The following is a 26,528-nucleotide window of genomic DNA, read 5'->3' on the forward strand; positions in this document are numbered from 1 at the left end:
AAAAAAATATTTAGGGGTACATATGCTTGTTTGTTAAATGAGCATACTGCATTCTGCTGGGGAGTGGGTTCCAGTGCATCCAGTACCCACATAGCAAATGTTGTATCTGATAGGTGATTTTTCATCCCTCATCCCCCTCCCACCCTCCTCCCTTTTGGAGTCCCTGAGTGTGTATGCGCTGTTTAGCTCCGACTAATAAGTGAGAACATGAAGTATTTGCTTTTCTACGTTGGAGTTAGTTCACTGAGTGTAATGGTCTCCAGCTCCATCCATGTTGCTGTAAAAGACACGAAATCATTCCTTATGGCTGCACCATTGGATAATTTTAGCTTTGTTATTGGTCTCCCTTCCTTCCTTCCTTCCTTCCTTCCTTCCTTCCTTCCTTCCTTCCTTCCTTCCCTCCCTCCCTCCTTCTTTCCTTCCTTCCTTCCTTCCTCCCTCCCTCTCTTTCTCTCTCTACTTTCTTTCTTCTTTCCTTCATTTTTGTTTTCTTTTGTTTGTTTTTTTATCTCAGATTACACACACCAAAATTTATTTTTTTGAGACAGGATCTTACTCTGCCCCCCTGGCTGCAGTGCAGTGGGCATGATACTAGCTCACTACAACCTCAAACCTCCTGCCTCAGCCTCCCCAGCCTCCTAAGTTGGGGCCCAGCGTGACGTGTGGGTCACCACCTTGCCAAATCTTTTTTTTTTTTTTTTAAGGAGGTGGATTCACCCTCCCCATGTTGCTCAGGCTGGTTCTCAAACTCCTGGCCTATTTTAACATTTTTTTTTGGTGGGGCAGCGTGGGGCAACTGCTGCATAGCTGTTCTACATAGGGAAAATCTATTTTTATGGGAAAGGGGGAAGGAGATACTTCTTGAAACTTCCCTCTTCAAATCCAGCTTCTGGTTGTTTAAATGAGCATCTGTTGTGAAATAGAAAATATTGAAAAATAAGAACAGAGATAAAAAGCACAAAATAAAGTTTCTCTTGTCATCACCAAGGGTGTCCCTTTGACCAGAAAGGGAAGTTTTAGTACTAAATCATTCCTCTCCCTGAAACCACCATTGCAAAATTATAACCAAGACAGTGAAAAATATCTGACCTAACAAACTCCATTTTGCTTCTAACCTTCAAGCTGCCCTTGCTCATTCCTGGGAATAGGCTGAACTAACTTTGGAAAGAACTTAGTTTATAGATTATAGTTTAAAACAAAGATGATAACAACCCTTTCCCAAAACAAACCTCCTTCTTGCCTGGGGACTAGACTGCCTTCGTAGGACTAACAAATTAGTCACAAGATTAAAAATTATGGTTTAGGAGTCATGCACCTGGAGGCTACAAGATTCTGACCCTCTCTAAACTGCTCCTAAGATCAGTGCTTGAGCTTTTTGCACACCAGGGTCTGCACTTGATGGATCAGCTGCCACTACTCAGATTGATAAACTGGTTCATATGGTCTTGTGGCCTCCACCCAGGAACTAAATCCGTACAAGAAGACAGCTTAGACTCTCTATGATTTCACTTCTGACCTGACCAATCAGCATTCTCGACTCACTGGCCTTCCCCCACCCACCAAATTATTCTTAAAATCTGTGATCCCCAAATGCTCAGGGGGACAGATTTGAGCAATAATAAAATTCCAGTCTCCCACACAGCCCACTCTGCATGAATTACTTTCTTTGTTGCAATTCCCCTATCTTGATAAATTCACTCTGTCTAGGCAGTGGGCCAGGTTGGGTGATTACAACACTAGAGGTGTACGGAATTCCATTGAGAGGCAAAAAGTTTATCTGGATATCTAGTGACCTTGGCCTAGGGAAACTGCCTTACGCTTATTATAAAACATAATGTGGGGGCAAAGGGAGAGGTTTCCCTTTGGCCCTCTGAAGTTTCACTGAGAAATCAACTCATCAAAGGCAGATGAATAAGAGAAAAGGCAGACACACGTTTCTGTGCACAGAGCCTTCATAACGAAGACCCCAAGACAGTGGGGAAATTGTGTTTAGGTTTTATTTATTTATTTAAGACAGAGTCTTGTTCTGTCACCCAGGCTGGAGTGCAGTGGCATCATCTTGGGTCACTGCAACCTCTGCCTCCTGGGTTCAAGCAGTTCTCCAGCCTCAGCCTCCCAAGTAGCTGAGATTACAAGCTCGTGCCACCACACCCGGCTAATTTTTGTGTTTCTTAGTAGAGACGGGGTTTCGCCAAGTTGCCCAAGCTGGTCTCGAACTCCTGACCTCAGGTGATCCACCCACCTGTTATGGCATCAACAGCATTATATAATAAGTGTAGTTATTTTTTGAGTACCCCCCTTCCTTCTCTCTCTCTCTGTCTCTCTTTAAAATAAGCTCAGGCAGATCTAATCCATTTCCAAAGCCTGAATTCTTTTTTTTGTTTGTTTGTTTGTTTTGAGACAGAGTCTCACTCTGTTGCCCAGGCTGGAGTGCAGTCACACGATCTCAGCTCACTGCAAACTCCACCTCCCAGGTTCAAGCGATTCTCCTGTCTCAGCCTCCCAAGTAGCTGGGATTACAGGTGTGTGCCACCACACCCAGCTAATTTTTGTAGTTTTAGTAGAGGTAGGGTTTTACCATGTTGGCCAGGCTGGTCTTGAACTCCTAACCTCAGGTGATCTGCCTGCCTCGGCCTCCCACAGTGCTGGGATTACAGGCGTGAGCCACCGTGCCCCAAAGCCTGAATTCTTAATCCAACATTGGATCTCTATCCCAAATCCTGTAGAGAACCAGTAAGTTGATTTCTGGACTTGGATGCCTCATAGACATTACATATTAATAATGACCCAACCCTAAAACTGGGTTTGCTTCTTCCTCATTCAACTCAGCTGTGACCCAGACTTACTGGCTCAATAAATTGTACCACTGTTCACCTAGGATACTGGGAGAGTTTACTCAATCTGTATCTCCCCATGTCCTAAACAACCCGTGACCAAGTCCTGTCCATTCTTCCTCCAATATGTATCTCCAAAAACTTCTCTCCATTTCCACAACTACCCATAGCCCTTTGTGGAGCCACTGGCTCTTTGAAGGACATCGGAGAATTTGTTTCAGGTTTGCAGGTATGAGGCCAAAGCCTGCTAACATTCCTGCCCCAGATTTTGTGTAAACAAAAGTATCTCTGCTGGGGGCATTGAGACCATACATACTTCTAGGTTTGGATGACTCTCTTGAAGGATGCATGGGACCCCACAAAACTGACACCCCCAACAAGGTCAGACATCTGCTACTGCATGGTCCAAGGCCTCCACCATAGATCACCACCGTTGTGAGCCTAAACTGCCAAGGGCACCAACTCCAGGGAGACTGTTGGGAAGCCAGCCTTCCTCTGCTAAAGTTGAAAGTCACAGGAACCTCCACCCACAAGGTCCCCACTGCACTCTGAAGATGTGGAGAATGAGTGGGTCAGAGAGAAGGCATGGAGGGGAGACTTCCTGGCCAGAATGAGTTTCCTAGGCTCTGGCCACCCCACCCGTGTCTCAGCCCACGAGACACCACTCTCTCTCCTCCTCTTCTGTCCACAAGCCCCTGAAGCCCACACACTGCAGGTGAGAAAACCACACAGTGTGAATAGAATAGAGCCTGACACCCTTCTCATGTGAGTGTGTCCTGAGCACATAGACGGGAGGTTTGTTTGACGGTGGCATCATTGTTTATCTGCAGCTGTATCCTAGGGAAGCAATTCTCCTATTTTCTTTTTTTGTTTTTTTTGTTTTGAGATGGAGTCTCGCTCTGTCGGCCAGGCTGGAGTGCAGTGGTGCAATCTCGGCTCACCACAACCTCTGCCTCCTGGGTTTAAGCGATTCTCCTGCTTCAGCCTCCCGAGTAGCTGGGTCTACAGGCACGCGCCACCATGCCGGACTAATTTTTGTATTTTTAGTAGAGAAGGGGTTTCACTATGTTGGCCAGGCTGGTCTCGAACTCCTGACCTTGTTATCTGCCTGCCTCCGCCTCCCAAAGTGCTGAGATTACAGGTATGAGGCATCGTGCCAGGCAATTCTCCTATTTTGATTGAAGGGAGCAAGAGCTAATTTCAGGGGGGAGTCTATGGAAAGTCCGATTCTCCCACAGGCTGCAGACTAGAAATGAATATGGCTTCTTGGGCAGTGGGGATTCAAATGAATATGGCTTTTTGGACGGAGGGAATTCCTTTGGCCTTCACGTTTTCGGGAGCTTCTCTCAAACCCTCCCTTGAGGCTAGAGAATAGATTCCCCCGACATTTCCTCAAGTGCCCGATGTATCCTGTCAAGCGACCCAAGGACGACACATTGAGTTAAAAACCCCCGTTGGTTATAACTGGAGATTTTAGATTCAGGCCACACCTCACTCTACGTCACAGAATGCGCTTTTCCAGAAGCTAAGCAGAGGAGCTGGGCTCCAGAGAGAGGAAGGGGCTGAGAAAAGCACAGGCGGAGAAAAGACGATTTTTCTTACAGGGCTAAAATGCAGGGGACTTCCTTATCCTGCCGACTTAGAGAAGCCCGGCCCCTTGTGATCCATTGCTGAAAGCCGCCTCGTGTTTGAAAAACGGATCCGCTCCCAACTTCAGTGGAAGGACATGACATGTAGCACGAGGTATTCTGTTCCTTCTGATGTGGTCTGCTCAGCGGGGCCTAAGGCTGGAGTTCGCCCACACCAATGGCTCCCTCTGCATGGGGTTCCATCATCTCTACCCTAGAACATGGTCCTTGGCGAATTCTGGCTCTTAAGTCGCTGTCCAAAACCCCATCCCATGCTCAGGCTACCCGAATGACCTTCGCTTGCACCTTTCCAGAAACGTTTCAAATCTATCCTCCATGCATGGCCACCTAAAAATGCAGAAGCACAGAACACTCGGTCGCCATTCACCTCACTGCTTTCAGGAGAGAATGCTCAAGGTCTCTTGCTGACTTTTTTTTTTTAACGGAGTTTCGCTCTTGTCGCCCAGGCTGGAGTGCAGTGGCGCGATCTCGGCTCACTGCAACCTCCGCCTCCTGGGTTCAAGTGATTCTCCTGCCTCAGCCTCCCAAGTAGCTGGGATACAGGCGCCCGCCACCACGCCCGGCTAATTTTTGTATTTTTAGTAGAGACGGGGTTTCGCCAAGTTGGTCAGGCTAGTCTCGAACTCCTGACCTCGGGTAATCCACCCGCCTCAGCCTGCCAAAGTGCTAGGATTACAGGCGTGAGCCACTGCTCCCAGTCTCTTTCTGAATCTTGACTCTGTGGGCACCGCCCGTTAGGGAGGCTCGCGTCCCTGCCCAGGGGCCTTCATTAACCGAAGGGGACGTGCCACGCTGGGGGTGTTCGAGGTGTGGGAGGCCTCCTCTGCTGGCGTCCCACCTCTCCGTTTACCGCCTTCTCCCATCACTCCGCTGGGGGCTCATCCCCTGAGACGGGGTCCGGGAGCGTGGTGGAAATGATCGAGGTGTAGAGGTTGGAGGGTCGTGGCCCAGCGGCTTCTGTCCCAGGGGGTGGCGGCGCGGGCCCGGGGGTGGCCATCTGGGTCCCAGCCCTTCCTTCCCTGTAGCAGGGGCGGACGAGGTGCATCCTGTTCCACCCCTGCACCCTTCTCCTCCCCGCCCCCCTCCGGGTGGACCAGCAGACCGCGGGCTGTGGTGGGAAGGTGGGCGGGCTTATGCCACCAGCCGCCCCCACTGCGCCGCCCACGTCTAAGGCTCCAGCTGGGCGGAACAGTCTCAGGTCTGGAGCGCCACACTTGGCTGTAGGGTGGACCCGGTGCGCCACTGCCCACGGCCACCGGCTGGCTTCTCAGTCGGGCCACTGGGTCGACCAGATGTGGGCTGCGAGCCGCGAACATTGCTCTTGGCCACTAGCTCGAAATACTAAAGGTCAACCTAAATATTTAATATCAAACATTTAAATATTTACGCACGGCAGTGCCTCCTAGGTCCAGCGGAGGGGTGTGATCAGGCCTCGCTGTGGCCTTGAACCCACGCCCCTACTCTCGGGCTCGCCCAAGTGGCCATCCCATTTCTGTCTTCAGAGGAGCCAGGATTCCAGGGATCTTCCTGTGATTTTTTTTCTAGTTCCACTTCCATTTTCTTTCCTCAGTACTTTGAGTTGTTTTTCCTTGTTCTCTGTCTCTTAACACTCCTTCCTGCACATTAAAGTTGCTGTTTTGATTTCTTTCTTTCGTCTTGTTTTTCTTTCTTTTTTCTGAGTGAAGTCTTCTCACTCTGTCACGCAGGTTAGAGTACAGTTGGGTGATCACGGCTCCCTGCAGCCTCGACCTCCCTGGGCTCAGGGGTTGCTCCTGTCTCAGCCTCCCAAGTGGCTGAAACTACAGGGATCGCTTCAGCCTGGGAGGTCGAGGCTGCAGTGAGCCATGATTGTGCCATTGCCCTACAGCCTGGGTAACAGAAGAACCCTGCCAGAAAGAGAGAGAGGGGGTAAAATTAATTGGGATCTTATTTACCTTTTGCCTTCGTTCACTCCATTTTAAAAAAAAATTAATATTGTTTGTTCTTTCTTTGTCACTTGTTATTGTTTGTTTTTATTATTTATTTTTATTTTTAGACAGGGTCTCACTTTGTCACCCAGGCTGCAGTATAATGGCGTGATCTTGACTCACAGCAGCCTCAACTTCCCAGGTTCAAGCAATCCTCTCATTTCAGCCTCCCCAACTCCCTAGTAGCTGAGACTACAAGCACACACCACCTGCTGGCTAACCTTATTTTGTGCTTTGTACATTTTATTTTTGTAGAGACAGGGTTCCACCATGTTTTCTGTGCACGAGCAATCTGCCCACCTTGGCCTCCCAAAGTGCTGGAATTACAGGCGTGAGCCACTGCGCCTGGCTTGCTCTATCATCTATCTATCTATCTATCTATCTATCTATCTATCTATCTATCTAAACTATCTATATCTATCTATCATATCTATCTATCTATCTAAACTATCTATATCTATCTTATCTATCTATCATATCTATCTATCTATCTATCTATCTATCTATCTATCTATCTACCTACCTACCTTTGTAGCAGAGATGTGTTCTCACTGTGGTGTCCAGGGTCTGCTCATATATATTTCTTTTTTAACGTTATTATTATTTCATGAGATGGAGTCTCATTGTGTTGCCCAGGCTGGAGTGCAGTGGTGGGATCTTGGCTCACTGCAACCTCTGCCTCCTGGGTCTAAGCAATTCTCCCACTTCAGCCTCCCAAGTAGCTGGGACTACAGGTGCGTACCACTATGCCTGGCTAATTTTTGTATTTTTAGTAGAGATGGGGTTTCTCCATGTTGGCCAAGCTGGTCTTGAACTCCTGACCTCAAATGATCCACTCACCTCGGCCTCCCAAAGTGCTGGGATTACAGGCATGAGCCACCGTGTCCATCCCGGTCATATTTTTTATGTGTTGATTTTTTTCGGTTTGTGTTACAGTCCAAGTGCGTAGTGATAGTACCGGGATAGAAAACAAAAATGTCGAGACAGATCAATCTCAGGAACCTGTTTTTTTTTGGTTGGTTGGTTGTTTTTAGGGGCACAAGCCCCATTGAGTGAAGTGCTCCTAATCTCTGGTGGTTTTGAATATTGTAGAAAGCATTGCAGTATTTAACTCTGTGCACTGAAGATTTTTTCTAATTCTAGAATACAGATAAATCTAGATGTATGGTTCTCGATCAATCACAAAAGTTCAATAGCCTTTTTCCTTATTCTACTTCTCTTTCTTGAAGGGAAGGACCTTGATTCAGATTTGCTGCCTACAGACAGCAATTTGTCTACATTATTTTCTCTTCTTTTTCTTATTGGGAGGGAACTGAGCCTGAGAAAACTGCAGGGCCATGAGCTGTTAGATTACTTCCAATGAGAGGAAAGGAAGTGTGTGTGACAACACATTCGGAGAGAAATCAGGGGAGGTGGCAGAGCAGGAAGCACCAGGAATCTGTCTCCCCACGTAGGCCAAAGGGAAGCTGGCAGGATCTATCTGATGGAGCGATTTGGCAACTCTGGAGTCTATGGGAGGCCTGCTGCTGCCAGGGGGAAGCCTGGAAGATACATTGTAATCAGTGCCAGTTCCCATTAGCTCTTTGTTTCCCACCCCCACCCTCTCTGTGCCCCCCTCAGGCCAGAGTCACAGCGGTGGAAAGGCTTCTAAGGAGAGGTATGTGGGAAGGTTCTCCTACAAGTCAGGTTCTTTAAGCTGAGCTTATTTTATTTCTGGTCTCATGTTCACCAGAATAAAGAAGATATTCCTTAATGACTCGATGGCCTTAGTTTATTTTCTGCTCACAGGTTTGAGCTATAAAAACCAATTTTTCTTCATATGCAATACATGAAAACTATGTATGTCAGAACATGCTTCTCTTAGTGTACTCTTGGGGATATAGTTTAAACAGCAAATAAAATTTGGCATGTATGGAAGTTTCTTTTTATATTATCAAGAGTACAAATATCTATCAAAATCTTTACCTCTTATGTCTCTAATCTGTATGAATACAAAGAGCATGATAGTTAGATCTGCACATAGATATTTATAGGTAGATAAACACAAACATAAAATTATGAGTTTGTCTATGCAAATATTTATGTATACAAAATAAGTTCAAGAGAAAATAAGTTCAAGAGACATTCTCCTCCAGCGAAAACTGATGTTGCAGACATAGACTTACGTTCACCTATATGGCTCTATACCATCTCAGGCTGGAACCCAGCTATGCAATGTTATGTATAAAAATCAACAAAGATTAGCATTGAGGGACACAGCCCAGGAAGTAAGCGTCCAGTACTGTTATGTAAGGTTTCATGGAAAGCTTGGAATTTGAAGGCCCTGCTTTTTTCTTTTCACTGTATACCTCTGTTATTTATATCCACCATTTGGGGCCTTTCTTGATGCTTCTGCTTCCCCAAATTAGCTAATTGTCTGATTATATTTGCCTGGGCTGAGCTAATTGGCTGATTAAAATCACCTGAGCTTAGCTAATTGGCTTATAGAATTCACCTGGTCTGGATGGGTAGGAAAGGAAAATGAACTTTGATCTTCTCTTCTTCTGAGGATTTTTTTTTTTTACCAGGCATAAGCACAAATGGACTCTAGCTAGATACAACTATGTGAACCATTCTGGGTGTATATGTTTCACTATTCACATATCTTATATCGATAAATACATATACAAAGCAAAGCAAAACGAAGCTAGGTAAGAGGTCATTTTTATTTTCATTCTTTCCAGACCGGGTGAATCAAATCAGCCTATTAGCTCAGTGGTGATTTACCCAATCCAAGCCACATATTGCATCACGTTCTTTTTTTTTTTTTTTTTTTTTTGACAGAGTCTTGCTCCAGGCTGGAGTGCAATGGCGTGAGCTGGGATTACAGGCGTGTGCCACAAAGCCTGGCTAATTTTTGTATTTTTAGTAGAGATGGGGTTTCACCGTGTTGGCCAGGATGGTCTTGAACTCCTGCCCTCTTGATCCACCCACCTCGGCCTCCAAAACTGCTGGGATAACAGGCGTGAGCCACTGCACCCGGCCATATTATTCTTATAAATGTGTAAATGTTCTTGTTACCTGGCACTCGAGTGTTTTTAATTCAGGATCTAATTAAATCCGCTCAGTGGAATTCTAACCATACAGCTAGGACAAGTCTGAGGTGCCTGACACCAGGAACCCTAGCCTTTCTCACATAGAAGCCTTAGCCTGGAGAATAAGAGCCAGCATTGACATTTCAGCACATGTTCACTATCACCTGGTTGAAATATGGCCAGGGTCCAGCTTTACATGATAATGAATGACTCCCCTGGCCTTAGTGCATTTTTATTTCCTAGAAGAAAGAAACTAGAAACAATGCTTTCTTCATATATGTTAAATGCAGCAGGTTGTATTTAAAAACATCCTTCTATATGTGTGATTCTGGATATAGTTTATAAGACAGTTAAGATTATGCATATGTATAAAAGTATTTTTTATACCACTATTAGAATCAATACCTATCAATACTTCCATTTTCCACATTTTTATTCTGTATGAATATACATACAAAGCTAAATATATTTGCATATAGATATACATAGGTAGAAAGGTAAACAAAAACCCATGCAGGATTATATGAGTATGTTTATGTGAACATTTATGTATACAAAGCATGTTCTGAAAAGACATTTTAAATGCTCTAGTATATACTAAGAACACAAATGTATACTAACTTCGGTACTCTATGGCACAATAACATCTCATAATGAAACAGAGCCAAGCAATGTTGTTTGTATAAGTGTAAAGAAAGCTTCAGGTTCAGGGAATAAATCTAGACAGTAAGCTGACAGTACAGCTATGTAATGCTATATTTCCAGGCTAGCATTTCAGACTATTGCTTTGTTTCTCACTGTATCAACATGCTATTTGCATTCACTATATTAGGCCTGACTTGATGAATCTGCAGTCCCTATTTAGACAATTGCATAATTGGATCTGCCTGAGTCGAGCTAACTAGCTTATTAAAGTCACCTGGACTGAGCTAATTGGCTGATTGGATTCACCTGAGCTGAGCTCATTGACTGATTGGGTTCACTGTTTCTAAAGAGAATGTGTAGAAAAATGACCTCTGATTTACTTTTATTTTGGGGCTGTTTTAGAAAAAAATACAGATTGACATCACCTAGACATATTTACATAACCCTGTGTGTTTGTATATGTTTATCTATCTATCTCATATTTATATCAAAATCTACAGAGAAATGTGTCCAATAAAACTAACTTTTTTTTCAGTATTGAAGTAAATGCTCAAGTTACAGCCCTTGGCTTTTATTCTCTTACCCAAAAAGTCACTACTTCAGCAAAGAAAACAAAAATACAAGGTTTTATTCCTATGACATATTTAAAATGATTATTTGAATTTATGAAAGCTTTAAAGACAATTATTCAGCACTTTCACATTTGAGTGAGAGCCTTTAAACTGAGGCTATTTTATTTCTGGTCCTATGTTTACCAGAAAGAGAAGGGTCACCCTTGACCTGGCAATGAATGTTTCATAACCTCAGTGCATTTTTGTTTTTCAGAAGTGAGCAACAAGGAATGATGCTTCCTTTGTGTCTGTTAAAAGCAGAAAGATGTATGTAAGAGCATAGTTCCATTTTTGCACTATTTTTTGTATAGTTTATGGGAAAGTTAAGTTTATACATCTATAATAGCATCTTTCTATGTCACTGTCATTATCAATATCTATCAATATTTCCACTTTATACAACACTATTCTTATTTTTTATTGAGACAGGTTCTCACTCTGTCACCCAGGCTGGAGAGCAGTGGAACCATGTAGGTTCACTACAACCTCTGTACCCTGGGTTCAAGTGATCCTCCCACTTCAGCCTCCCAAGTAGCTGGGACCACAGGCACATACTACCACATCTGGCTCTTTAAGACCCTTGAGCTCAAGCAATCCACCCCCCTCAACCTCCTGAAGTGCTAAAATTACAGGTGTGAACCACCGCACCTGGTCATACATCATTATTTTTTATAAATACAGATACAAAGATGGATGCATCTGAATATAGACATACGTAGATAAACATACACACACATACAGGATTATATGACTACATCTGTGTAAATATTAATGTATACACATTATGTTGGCCAAAAGACATTTTCAATACCCTAGTATATATTATAAAGATGTAGAATTAATTCTCTACTCTGACACAATAGTATTCCAGAATGAAACATAGACATACAATGTTGTTTGTTTAAATGTAAACAAAGCTTCCCCTACATGAGAGATTTGGGAAGATGATAGTACACTAATGTAATAGTTTATGTTCAGATTAGCATTTTATGGCCCTGCTTTTGTTTTCAATATATGAATGTGCTACTCTCGTCAACCATTGTAATTCTGCCTTGAGGAATTCACTGTTGATGTTTTGATAATTGACTGATTGAGTCTATCTTCGCTAACTGGCTGATTGGAATCACCTGACCTAAGCTAATTGGCTGATTTTATTCACCTGGGCTGAGCTAATTGGCTAATTGGATTACCTGGGTTGAGCTAATGAATGATTGAAATCACCTGGAGTGACCTAATCAGCTGAATGAATTAACCTGTCTTGAGGGAAATGAGTAGTAAAATAATGTCTTAGTTTTGAGGCTTCTTTATGAGACACAATCACAAATGGAAATTACATAGACGTATCTGCATAACCCTGTGATTTGTATATATTAATTCATTTACATATTTTATATCTGTATCTAAATCTACAAAAAAACTATCCAAAGAAAACTTAAATTTCCTTTCAGAATAGCAGACTAATTTTTAGTCACAGACTTTAATTTTTTTTCTCTACCTAAAAAGTTACTTCTCTAGCCAACAAAATAAAACAAAAAAATCCCCAAATTATCATGCTATGTCATATATTCATACAAAAGATCCCCTGAATTTCTGGAAGTTTAAAGAAAATTATTCGGCATTTGCAAATTTGGGGCAAAGCTGGGGCTAATGTATCTCTCGTCTCAGTTCACTAGAATGAAAAGGGTCATTCTTGACTTGGCAGTGAATGACTCTCATGGCCTTAGTACATTTTCTGTTTACAGATGTGAGCAACAAGGGCCAATTCTTTCTTCATATACATTAAATGCAGCAGAATGTATGTCAGAGAATACCTCCATTTGTGTACTCTTGCGGATGTAGTTTAAAAGGCAAATAGGATTTTATGTGTATGGAAGTTTTTTTAATTGCTATCAGTAGAAATACCTATCAATACTTTCACCTTCTCTCTCTTTATTCTGTATGAATATGTATAGAATGATAGATAAATCTGGATATAGTTATGCATAAGGAGATAAACACACATACAGAATTATATGTTTGTCTACATAAATGTTCTTGTATGCAGAAGACTTTTTTGAGAGGCATTTTTAATATCCCATTCTGTCTGGAAGATGAAGACCTAGACTTACTCTCACCTATATGGCTCCATACCATCACAGACTGAAATACAGACATATAATGTTCTGTATAAGTATCAACAAAACTTTATGTTAAGGGGCAAAGCCTGAGAAGGAAGCTTCCATTCCTGCCAAATAAGACTTTATGTTGACCTTAAAATTTTAGGGCCCTGCTTTTCTACTCGCTCTATGACTGTGTTGTAGGCCATTTTGTGCCTGCCTTGATGCTTTCGTCTTTCACATTTAGCTAATGGGCTATTCACACTATCTCCACTGAGTGGATTGGCCAACTGAATTTGCCTGGCTGAGCTAATTGGTTTCTTGAATTCACCTGGTTTGCAGGAGTTGTGAAGGGAAATGACCTCTGATATGCTTTTTTCTTGAGGCTTTTTAACCAGATATATGGATACATGGACTTTGCATGAACATACACAGGGGACCCATTCTGTGTGTGTATGTTTATTTATTCACTAATCTTATATTTTTATCTATATGTACAAAAAAAGCCCCCAAGAAAAAAATAGGTCAGGAATACTTCGAATTTTCTTTCCCTCCAGGCCAGATGAATCCAAATAGTCAATTAACTCAGTGAAGATTGATCCAATCCAAGCCACACACATCACATTATTCTTATAAATGTAAAAATGTCCTTGTCACCTGGCACCCGGTTGTTTGTAATGTAGTGTCTCATCAAACCAGCTTAGTGTGGTTGTAATCATCCATTTATGAAGAGCCAGAGATGCCTGAAAACATTGAGCCTGACCTTTCTCACAAAAAAGCTTTGACATCACCAAAAAAATTTACCTTTGGCATTTTGCACATGTTCACTATTGTCTGGTTGAAATTTGGCCAGGTACCATATACCAAGATATTTGTGTTCAATATCACAGTCTATCTTCTGAAAACAGGCCTAATTTTTTTATTACCATAAAAGTCATATTACAGCCACAAAGAAAAAAATACAAAAACGTATTTTTACAACACATGCTCAGAGTTAAGAACAAGAGCCCTTTTCGTGATGAAAGCTTTAATAGGAAGAAATAAGCATTCTCAAATTTGAGTTATAGCCTTTGAAATGGGGCTAATTTATCACTGGAATAAAAAGATCATTCTTGACCTGGCAGTGAATGACTCGCATGACTTTAGGGCTTTTCTAACTCCCAGAATGGAGCAATAAGGATCACTGCTATATATATATATATATATATATACACACACACACACACACATATATATACACATTAAATCTAACAGGAGGTATTTCACAGTCTATCTTTATTTGCATACTATTCTAGACATAATTTACAGGGCAGATAAGTCTATATATATATTGAAGTTTTTATATTACTTTCTGTATGAATACCTCCCAATACATCTATCTTCTATGTCTTTATTCTATATGAATATAGGTACCAAGATGAATACATCTGAATATAGACATACATGGGTAGATTTTAAAAAACACAGAAACAGAATTATGTGAGTATGTTAATGAGGTAACTGGCTGACTGTAACCACCTGGGCTTAGCTAAATGGCTATTTGGAACCACATTGGTTTAGATAACTGGCTGATTGTATTCACCTGGGCTGAGTTAACTGGCTTATTGGAATCACATGTTTTGAGCTAATTGGCCAAATGAATTTACATGGGCTAGGCTAATTGACTTATTGAAATCACCTTGTCTTAGCTAGTTGGCTTTTTAGAATCACCCAGGCTGAGCTAATTGACTGATTAGATTCACCTGGACTGAGCTATTTGGTTCTTTAGAATCACATAGGCTGGGCTAATTGGCTGATTGTATTCACCTGAGTTGAGGTAATTTGCTGATTGGAATCACCTGCCTTGAGCTAATTGTCTGATTGGATTCACCTGTCATGAGAGAGATTAGTAGGAAATTAATCACTGAGTCCCATTTATTTTGGGGTTTTTTTTTACAAGACATACTCACAGATGAACATTACATAGATATATTTATACAACCCTATGTGTTTTATATGTTTATTTACCTACATGTCTTATATCTGTATCTAAGTCTACAGAGAAAAACATCCAAGAAACTCTGAAATTTGCTTTAAGCATTGTAGTCTATCTTCGAGTAATAACGCCTAGATTTTCTTGCCTTACTCAAAAACTCACTTCTTCAGCCAGTAAAAGAAATACAATACAGATAATTATATTTTCATTTCCCATGGGAAAAAAAATCCTCTACATTGATGGAAGCTGTAAAGAGAATATTTTAGCACTTTCAAATTTGAAGGAGGGATTTTAAGCTGAGACTACTTTATCTCTAGTCCTGTGTTCATCAGAAAAAAAGGGTCACTTTGACCTAGCAATTAATGTTTTACATGGCCTTATTGTATTTTTATCTCCTAGAAGTTAGAAACAAAGACCAAGGCTTCCTTCTTATATGCTAAATTCAGAGAGACGCACAAAGAGCATACCTACATTTGTGTACTAATTTAGATATAGGGCAGATAAGCTTATACATCTATGAAAGTATCTTTGTATATTACTATTATATTATAAATAGTATGATTAATATTAAACTATTGTATATTACTATTATCTTTGTATATTACTATCAGTATATAGTATACACTTCTACTCTCTACATATCTGTTCTTTTTTTTTTTTTTTTGAGGTGGAGTCTTGCTTTGTTGCCCAGACTGGAGTGCAGTGGTGTGATATTGGCTCACTGCAACTTCTGCCTCCTGGGTTCAAGCAATTTTTCTGCCTCAGTCTCCCAAGTAGCTGGGACTACAGGTGCACGCCACCACATGCAGCAAATTTTTGCATTTTTAGTAGAGACAGAGTTTTACCATATTGGCCAGGCTGGTCTCAAACTCCTGACCTCGTGATCTGCCCGCCTTGGCCTCCCAAAGTGCTGGGATTATAGGCGTGAGCCACCACGCCCAGCAACATATCTGTACTTTACCAATATTGAGACAAAGATAAATACATCTGGACATAAATTTGCATAGGTAGTTAGATAAATGAACACACACATACTAGATTATATGAGTAAATCTATGTAAATATTTATGTATATACAGGATGTTCACCAACAGACATTTTAGTACCCCACTACATACTAAAAATGCAGATGTGGACTTACTCCCCAATCTCTGGCACAATAGCAATTTAGAATGGAACACAGCCATACAATGTTTGTATAAACGTTTTCAAAGCTTCGTCTCTAAAGGCAAGGTCTGGAAGGTGAGCTAACCATAAAGCTATGTAAATCTTTATGTCCAGGTTAGCATTTCAGAGTCCTGCTTTGCTTCTCAGTGTATGAACGTGCTAATCTCCTTCACCATTTTGGGCCTGCCTTGAAGTATCCATTGTCACCATTTTGATAATTTGCTGATTGGGTCTAACTGGCCTATGCTAATTGGCTGATTGGAATTACCTGAACTCAGCTACTTGGACAGTTGAGTTCACCTGAGCTAAACTAACTGATTAAAAATCACCTGGGCTTAAGGCTGGGTGCAGTGATTCATGCCTGTAATCCCACCATTTTAGGAGGCCGAGGCAGATGGATCTTTTTGAGTGCAGAAGTTAGAGACAAAAAAAAGAAGTTCAAGACCAGGAGACCAGCCTAGGTAACATGGGATAACCCCATCTCTACAAGAAATACAAAAATTAGTCACACATGGTGGCACATGCCTGTGGTCTCAGCTACTCAGGAGGCTGAGGCTGGAGATTGCTAGAACCTGGGAGGCAGACATTGCAGTGAGCCAAGATCGCACAACTGCACTCCAGCCTGGGGGACAGAGTGAGACCCTGTCTCAGAAAAAGTTCACCTAGGCTGAGTTAATTGGCTGACTGAAATGACCAGGGCTTAGCTAATTGGCTAATTAGAATCAACTGGTGTGTCATAATTGACTGATAAGACTCACCCAGGCTCAGCTAATTAATAGATTGACATCACCTTTGCTGAGCTAATTAATTGACTGATTAGAATCATTTTGGCTGACCTAATCAGCTAATATGAATCACCTGGGCTGAACTAATTGGCTGATTGTATTCACGCGTGTTGAGAAGCATGAGTAGGGTAATGACTTCTGACATACTTTTATTTTTTTCCAAGACATACTCATAAATGGTCATTGCATACACATATTTATATAACCCTGCATGTTATATAACCTACAGAAGAAAGTGTCCAAGGAAAACTAAAATTCACTGTCAGTACAGCAGTGTATCTTCAAGTTACAGACCTCGACTATTCATTCCCTACCAAATAAAGTTGCTTCTCCAGCCAACAAAACAAAAGACAAGAATTTACTTTTTTTTGTCATATGTTCAAAAAAAAAAAAAAAGAATCACCTGAATTGGTGGAAGCTTTAAAGAAAAGTTTTCAGCATTTGCACATTTGGGTTAGGGCTTTTCAGCAGAGGCTAGTTTATTTTTGGTTCTGTGTTCACTAGAATAAAAAGGGTTATCCTTGATTTAGCGTGAATGACTCTCATGGCCTTAGTGAATTTTCATCTCCCAGAAGTCAGCAACAAGGACTAATGCTTACTTTGTATAAGTTAAATGCAGATGGATGGACGTTATAGCACGCCTCCATTTGTGTACTACTCTCTAGACAGAGTTTATAGGCCAGAACATTGTATACATCTATGGAATTATCTTTATATATCACTATCAGTATCAATACCTATCAACCCTTCCACCTTCTACATCTTTAATTTTTATGAATAAAAATACAAAATAAATATATCTGGATATAGATATTCATAGGTAGATAAACACACATACTGAATTATATAAGTACATCTATGTAAATATTTAGGTGTACACAGGATGTTCACAAAAAGACATTTTCAATACCTTAGTATATAATCAGGATGTGGATACGAACTTACTACCCTACTCTATGCCACAATACAAACCCAGAATTGTACATTGTCATACAATGTTGTTTATATAAACATAAAGCTTCACTTTCAAAGGTGAGGTCTTTGAAGTAAGCTGACAGCATAGCAATTTAATGCTTTATGACCAGATTAGCATTTCAGGAACCTGCCTACCTTCTCAGTGTAGGAATGTGCTGTCACGTCTACTATTTTGGGCCTGACTTGATGAATCTGCAGTCGCTATTTAGATAACTGTTTGATTGAATCCAAGTTTGCTGAGCTAATTGGCTGATTCTTTTGCCTGGGCCCTGCCTGCAGAAGTCATTTTGACGTATCTATGGTCCCATCAGAGATGTGACTGTCCTCTTATGCCCAGACCCTGTTCACAGTGAAGATTGTGACATATGGCTTGGCTTAGCACCTAAGTGATGTGACTCTCCTATTATGCTTGGGCCCTGCCTACAGGGGTTATTGTGACATAAAGCTGAGCCCAGCTCCTATGTTATGTGACTCTCTTCTTCTTCCTGAGCCCAACCTACAGGGGCAATGTTTACATATCTCTGGGCTAAACATATCTCTCTGCCAGTTAAACAGTTTTCTTCTGTTCATCTCTAATGGAAGTTTGTAAATGGCACTACTTAGTGAATGGAATAGCTTTCTAAAAGCTCAGGTGCTACTGAGAAGCTGACACAGGATTTCAGTGCACTTAATTCTAATCAAGCAACAGGACTCAACCTAGGAAGAAACAGCTGGGGAAAAGAACCTGGGCAATGTGACACTCCATCCTGGGCACTCCCATTAGGGGGGATTGTGACATATCTTTAAACCTATCAACTATTTGATGTGACTCTCCTGTCTCACCTGGGCTTTGCCCATGGGCAAGATTGTGACATATGTATTGGGCCATAACCCAGGTGTTGTGACTCATTTCTCCTGCCTGATAACTGCTCCCAGAGTGGATTGTGGCATATGGTTGGGTTCAACACCAAGTTGGTGTTGCTCTTTTGCCTTGGCCCTGCACTCAGGAGACACTGTGCCATTTCACTGGGCTCAGCACCGAGGTGATGTGAATCTCCTGCCTTGAATCTGTTCGGGGGGGACATTGTGACATATCTCAGGGCTCATCAACTTACAACATATTTGAGATGACTCTTTTATCTGATGTGGGCCTTGCCTATTAAAGTAATTGTGACATATCTCTGGGCCCAGTACCTAGGTGACATGACTCTACTCTCCTGCCTGGACTTTGTCCACAGAAGGGAGAGTGATTATCACTGAGCCCAGCACACAGGTCATTTAATACTTCTGCGTTGGCCCTGTCCACATGTTCATTGTGATATAACTCTGGGCCCATGCCCTAGGCAATGTCACTCTCCTCTTTCGCCTGGGCCCTCTCCTTAGTGGGGATTGTGACATATTACTTCTCCTAGCACCTAGGCGATGGAACTTCCTCTCATGCCCGGGCCCTGCCTATGTGAGTGATTGAATAGATGGCTAGACGCAGCCTCTATATTATGCCACTCTCTTCTTCCTGAGCTCTACCCACAAAGGTATTGTAACATCTCTGAACCCCTCTCCTAGGTGATTTGACGCTTCTTTCTGAACCCTTTCCTCAGGGGCTGTTGTGACCTATTACTAAACACAGCACCTAGGTGATCTGACTTTTCTACACTGCTTGGGTTCTGCCCACAATATAGATTTTAATTTATAGCTGAGAGCCACACCTAGGTGATGTTACTCTCCTATCCTGCCTGATCCCTGGATACATTGTGTATTGTGACATATCACTGGGTCCAACAGTTAGGTGATGTGACCCTCCTGCATGGGCCCTGACACCAGGAGTATTATGGGATATCTTTGATTCATCACCTTGGTGATGTGACCTTCCTCTTCTGCCTGGGACATGCTAAAAACGGGGATTGTGACACATCCCTGTACCAGCACCTAGGCGATGTGACCGTTCTTTTGCCCGGGCCCCATATACTTTGAGTATTTTAACATATTGCTGGGCTCAACATCCATGGGATAGTACACTCCTGCCTGGGCCTTGCCCACAGGGAGACTTGTGACATATCTCTGCATGCATCACCTAGATGTTGTGACTCTTCTTTTCTACCTGCACCCTGCCAACAGGAAGGATTGTGACATATCGCTGGGCTTAGCAACTAGGTAATGTGTCTCTCCTGCGTGGCCTTTTCCACAGGGGTCATTGTGACCTATCGCTGGGCCCAGCACCCAGGTAATGTGATTCTTATTGCCTGTGCCCTGCTCACAGAGTAAATTGGGACATATCACTGTGCCCAACACCCAGGTGACATGACTCTGCTGCTTGTGCCCTGCTTTCAGGAGAAGATTGTGACATATCTTTGGCCAAGCACCCAGGTGTTGTGACTTTTTTTTTCCTGCCTGCGTCCTGCCACAGTGAAAATTGTGACATATCACTGGACCAGCACTCGGGATTTGACATCCCTTCTCACTCTCTATGCACAGGTGGTATTGTGATGTATAGTTTGGCCTAGTTCACAGGTGTGATGATTACTCTCATACTTTGAACCAGCTAGTAGGAGAGATACTGTCTTTTGTAGCTTGACTTAGCAAAACAAGAGTCTGGGTTATTTCCTTTCACAAAAATCACAGGGGATTATCATGCTCTTGCCTATCACATAAAGCCCTTGGGTGGTACAGGGTGTCATAAAGGGGCCCAGCATAGAGGTGAGATTGTGTCTCTCATATGCAAACTTTGCCAACCGTTAAGATGGTCACCCTTGCATGTGGTCAGAGGCCACTCATGAGATCCTAAATCTCAAGAAAAGATGCAGTCCACGGTTAGAATTGTGAGAGTCACATGCGAATATCCAGATAGAATTGGGATGGTGACTCATTTCTAAACTAAGCTTATAGGTTCATTGAGCACTCTCACATCTGGACCCAGCCAATTGGAGAGATGTTGATGTGGGCTTATGGCCACAGGTAAGATCGTGGGCCCATACCAGCCTGAAGGTATCAGAGCAGATCGTGACTCTCACACATATCATAAAAAGCCCTCAACTGGTACAGAGAGTATCCTAACGTGACTCAGCACACAAGTGAGATCGTGTCTGCTGTACACATGCCCAGATGACAGTAAAGATTGTCATCCATTAACACTAACACAGCCCATTGCTGAGGTCCTGAATCTCACACCCAGAAGCAGTTGAAAGTTGGAAAATTGACTCTCATATGTGAATCCGGTCCACAGGTGGGTTGGTGACTCTCAGACCAAGACTCAGCACTCTCGTGAGGTTGTGACTCCGCTAAGGAGACAGGCTGCGGGACGGATTGAGGCTTTCACGCGTGGCTCCAGTCCACTGTTGAGACTGTGAATCACGTACTTAGACTCAACATACAGGAGGTGTTTCCTCTCATACCTGTAATTGAGAAATGTGCAGGATTGTTAATCTCATCCCTGGCCTTTCATGCAGGTGTGATTGTGCCCTCAAAAGGCATTGTGAAATATTGGCGGGCCCAGCTCAAAGGTGATATGAAATATGCCTCTCCAGCATTTGAGTTATTTTACTTTTCTGTGAGAGCCCAGTCCACAGATGGGATTGTGACATTGCTAGACCCAACAACTAGGTAATGTGACTCTATTCTCCTGCATTGGCATTGTCCAAAGAAGGCAAATAACACATTACTTGTCTTCGCACTCAGGTGATGACTCTTCTCCTGCCTTGGCACTGTGCACAGGGGGCATTGTGACATATCACTGGGCTCTACACCCAGGTTATGTAACTTCCATGCCTGGGCCCTGTGCATAGTGGCCATTGTGACATATTTCTTGCTCTACAACTCAGATTGTAACTATTCTGCCTTGCCCCCTGCCTGCAAAGGGCATTGTGACACACCTCTGTGAACATCACAAAGGTGATGTGACTCTCTTCCAAAATGGGATTGTGGCCAGGTGCAGTGGCTCATGCCTGTAATCCCAGCACTTTGGGAGGCTGAGTCGAGGGGATCATCTGAGGTCAGGAGTTCGAGGCCAGCCTGGCCAACATGGTGAAATCCCGTCTCTATTAAAAATACAAAAATTAGCCAGGTGTGGTGGTGCACACTTGTAATCCCAGCTACTTGGGAGGCTGAGGCAGGAGAATCACTTGAACCCTTGAGGCAGAGGTTGCAGTGAGCTGAGATCACGCCATTGCACTCCAGCCTGGGCAACGAGAGTGAAACTCTGTCTCAAAAAACAAAAAACAAAAAAAGCTCCAAAAAACCAAAATGAGATTGTGACATATCACTGGACCGAGCACCTTGGTGATGTGACTATCCTCTCTTGCTTGAGTTTCACATATTATTGTTACTGTGACATACCTCTGTGACAAACAGCTATGGGTAGGAAAACTTCTGCCTGGACTCAGCCCAAGGCGGCCTCATGACTTTTTTAAAAGATATGTGACTTTAAAAATGTGACTGTCATTTTCTGCCTATGCTTTGCCCTCAGGAAAGATTGTGGCATATTACTGAACTAAGCAACCTAGTGACGTGTCTCTTCTGACTGGGGCTTGCCCACAGAGACAACTGTGACATAGCACTGAGCCCAGGACCCAGGTGATGTGACTCTGCTGCCTGTTTCCAACATTCATGAGAGGATGGTAACTATCCCTTGCCAAGAACTCAGGTGATTTGACTGTCCTGCCTTGTTGCTGCCCTCAGAGAAGATTGTGATATATCTTCAGCCCCAAACCCAGGTAATGTGACTTCCCTGCTTACTCCCTATTCAGAGGAGAAATTATTACATATAACCTGGCCCAGCTCACAGGTTTGATGACAATTCTCATACCTCAAACAAGCCAATAGAAGAGATACTGTCTCTCTCAGCGAGGCTTAGGAAAACTGGTAAAATACCTGTGTCTCCTCTTTGTATGAAGGTCATAGAGAACTACCACGTGCTTTGTATATGGCATAAAGCTCTTGAGTGGTACAGTGGTACAGAGAGTGTCCACATGTCCTAAAACAAAGGGGATATTGTGTTTCTTGTATACACACCCAGACACCTGTTAGGATTGTCACCCTAACACCTGGATACAGACCATTGGTGAGGTCTTGTGTCTCACATGCAGATGCAATCCACAGTTTGATTCCTGACTGTCAAATGTAAACACCTGTCCAAAGTTGGGATGGTGACTCATTTCTAAACCCAGCTCATAGACAAGTGAGGACTCTTCTGTCTGGCCCAGTTAATCCGAGAAATATTAACTTTTCTACCTGGGCTTAGGGAGCAGCATAAAGGTCTCGGGGCAAATTGTGGCTCTCATTCCTAGTCTACAATGATCTTGGGTAGTATTAAATGTCCTAACGGGGTTCAGCGCACAGGTGAGATTGTGACAGTGATATCCACACCCAACTGACAGTAAAACTTGCCATCTTTCCTCATGGATACAGCCCACTGTTGAGGTGTTGAATCTCATAACCAAAGGCAGTTGAAAATTAAAACATTGTCTCTCATTGGTAGACCCAGTCCACAGGGGGGTTGGTGACTCTCAGACCAAAATTCAGCACAGTTATGAGGTCGTCACTCCACTAAGAAAACGGAATTCCCAGAACAAATTGAGACTGTCATGCACAAATCCAGCCCACCACTGAGATTGTGACTCATTTACTTAGACCCAACATATAGGAAGTGTTGACTCTTATACCTAGAATTGGGACATGTGTAAGATTGTTCATCTTTTCCTCAGACTTTCCTGCAGGAGTGATGCTGACATGTTCCTCTATTTGGCATCTGAGTGATATGACTCTTGCCATGGTCTAGCCCACAGATGGAATTGTGATGTGTTGCTGTACCCAGCACCTAGGTGATGTAACTCCATTTTTCTGCCTTGGCATTGCTCACAAAAGGTATTTTGACATATCTCTGGGGTATGTACCCAGGTTTCATGACTCTCTTGCCTGTGCCCTGTCCACAAATTGTCATGAAATATTGCTGGGTCCAACACCCAGGGATGTAACTCTCATGCCTAGGCCCTGCCAACAGGGGGAATTGTGACAAATCTGTGTCAATAACCCAGGTTATGTGACTCTCTTTTTTTGCCTGGTCCCTGCTCACAGAGGGCATTATGACATATTGCTGAACTCAGCACCTAACTGATGTGATTCTCCTTTCTAGTTTTTGCCCACAGGGGAGATTGTGACATATCACTGGGCCTCAAACTAAGGTGAAGTTACACTTTCATTTTCGAACTGTACTCAGAAGGCATCGTGACATATTCCTGGGCCCAGCACCAAGGTGATGTGAGTCTCCTGCCTGCACTTTGCCCACAAATGGCATTGTAACATATCTTTAGACCTATCAACTACTTGATATGACTTATTTTTTTAAAGTGAAAGCAAGTTTATTAGAGAAGTAAATAAACAAAAGAATGGCTACTCCATAGACAGAGAAGACCTCAGGGCTGCTCATTGGCTCTTTTCATGGTTATTTCTTGAGTACATACTAAACAAGGGATGGATTATTTGTGAGTTTTCCAGGGAAAGGATGGGCAATTTCCAGAACTCAGGGTGCCTTCCCTTTTTAGACCATATAGGATACCTTCCTAACATTGCCATGACATTTGTAAAGTGTCATGGTGCTGTTGGGAGTGTCTTTTAGCATACTGATGCATTACATTTAGTGTATAATGAGCAGTGAGGACTAACAGAGGTCACTTTCATTGCAGTTTTTCTTTCGGTGGGTTTTTGCTGTCTTTTGTCCTGTATCCTCTTTTATCAGCAAGGTGTTTGTGAATGGTACCTTGTGGTGACCTCTTGTCTTATCCTGTGACATAGAATGCCTGATCTTCTGAGAGCACAGGAATTGGGTTAATTCCTTTCTTTTTGAGGTCTCCAGATAACTCGGGGCTCTTGGGCCTGGCAGAAAGTGACACTCCTTACTTGCACAGGTCAGGACCCCTGCGCAGGGACTGTGTAGACAAGGAAGAAGGCCAATTTTCCCAAAGGGCTTCTACTAGCTCTACAAATCAAGTATGATTTCTCAAAGACCATGATTCCAGTCAAAGCCTTGGTAAAATAACCTGTGTCTCCCATTGTGTCCTGTTGCAAGTGAAAACATGTTTATTGTACTTATGCAAATAACTATATTGCCATAAATCAAGAATATTCACCAATATCTTTGCACATTCTGGACAAATCAGGGAAAGAGAAACAAAATACTCCAAATTATGTTTACAGGAGTATATGTTACTCAATTGTTAAAAGCTGTAAATAACTCAAAAGTGCTCTTGACTCTGAAAAACAAAGGATCCACAACATTTTAAGCAAAAAGCCAAAAAATATTACTTCCATCTTTTATTAGTTCAGTTCATGCAGTAAACTCTTGTTCTGCTTGATATTTATTAATATTTCAGCTTTCCATGAGAGTCTTGAAAGTTTTTCCCCTGTTCTAATTTTGCAGTCTTCAAAGTTATCAGAAATTTGCATTTGAAAGCACCCATCAATGTTCCAGAGCAGACTATAAATTATCTTTTGAAAAGGATTAAAACAAGACAACAATTGTCTGTGGGTGACAAAAAAAGTCCTAGGACAGCCATTATTAAAGCCACAGTTAACTAGAAATATTGGTTACTCTTGTGGAATAAACAATTTTACATAACAATTATAACTATTAACAACATACTATACACTAAGTTATATCAGACTTACAGGAGTTTTCCATAATTTCAGAACACTCACTAATGACATATTTATACAAATACAACCCCAAGAAAGCCAAATACCATTTCATATTTGACAATACATTCTGTATAATTTTATACCAAATAAATCGAATATATTATTTTTGGACTTTAGGTGACCTAATATCTAAAAGATTAATTAGGTCAGAAAAGATGAAATGTATAATTTAATTTTGGAAAGTTTTTCAAATAACAAAGGTTTAAAATATTTTACATTATAAAATCAAATCCCAGTTCACCCTATGTCATTCATTTAGCCAAAACAGTAACTTTTCTTTTTAAAATTTTTTTAAAAGCCAAAAACTTTTACTTACTAATAAAGGAAAGACATAGCTTTCCAAACAGTCTGTCTCTTGTCTTTCTTCCTGTACTTTATTCAAAAGACAAACAAAAATCTTTCATTTTTTAAATACAACATGAAAATCTGGTTCAAGAGTGGAAGCCTATATTTCACCTTTGTGTTAGTATAGTAATGATGCCAAAGTTCTTAATAAAATCTTATATACAACATATCAAAGCTTAATTAGTTTGACTATAAGGTAAGATTCTCAGAAATCTTTTACAACCCTTTAAAATTTTTGTTAAACGGCAAATCTGTGCTCTAAAAAAAACCTGTTGAGCTTTTATTCCAATGTTCAATTTATGGAAAAACTGAATATCTATTTAACTTTAGCCAGTATGTTCACACACAGAATTTTTTTATGAGATTAAATTTTTAAAAACCTTCCACAACTTGCTCAAACCTTCAGGTTTATTCTAACTTAAAACAACCCTTTAGATCTCTAACCGAGGCCCCAATATTAACATTCTTATGCCTTTTTATAATCTTATACTGAAAGCACATTCTATTTTTCTTACACACCTTGCATGTAAAGCTGTTTTTATTTCCCAAAGATTACTTATGTCACATGAACTAAAAGGCATTCACACATGGACACAGTGCACTGGTGAGGTCTTCAACCTCATATGCGGATGCAGTTCAGTTGGAATTGTGACTGTCATATGTGAACATCCAGCCACAATTGGGATGGTGACTCATTTCTAAACCCAGCACATAGACAGTTGAGAAACTTCTATCTGGAC

At 41.9% G+C, this 26,528-nt stretch overlaps 1 long non-coding RNA gene across 6 annotated transcripts; it reads left to right on the plus strand.

Annotated features, from left to right (window-relative positions):
- The first annotated feature begins 4,382 nt into the window (after positions 1-4,382).
- Positions 4,383-24,282, plus strand: LOC105372332 (uncharacterized). Of its 6 annotated transcripts, none has more exons than XR_936474.1 (4): positions 4,383-4,577; positions 22,217-22,463; positions 23,454-23,570; positions 23,882-24,282. It is a non-coding gene; the product is annotated as an uncharacterized LOC105372332 (long non-coding RNA). The 6 variants fall into 6 exon arrangements; XR_007067205.1 differs by lacking the exon at positions 4,383-4,577 and adding an exon at positions 21,687-22,107; XR_936472.1 differs by having other exon boundaries at positions 23,454-24,282.
- Positions 24,283-26,528: the final 2,246 nt, after the last annotated feature.

Source organism: Homo sapiens, chromosome 19 (genome assembly GCF_000001405.40).
Source record: "Homo sapiens chromosome 19, GRCh38.p14 Primary Assembly".
Taxonomy (NCBI): domain Eukaryota; kingdom Metazoa; phylum Chordata; class Mammalia; order Primates; family Hominidae; genus Homo; species Homo sapiens.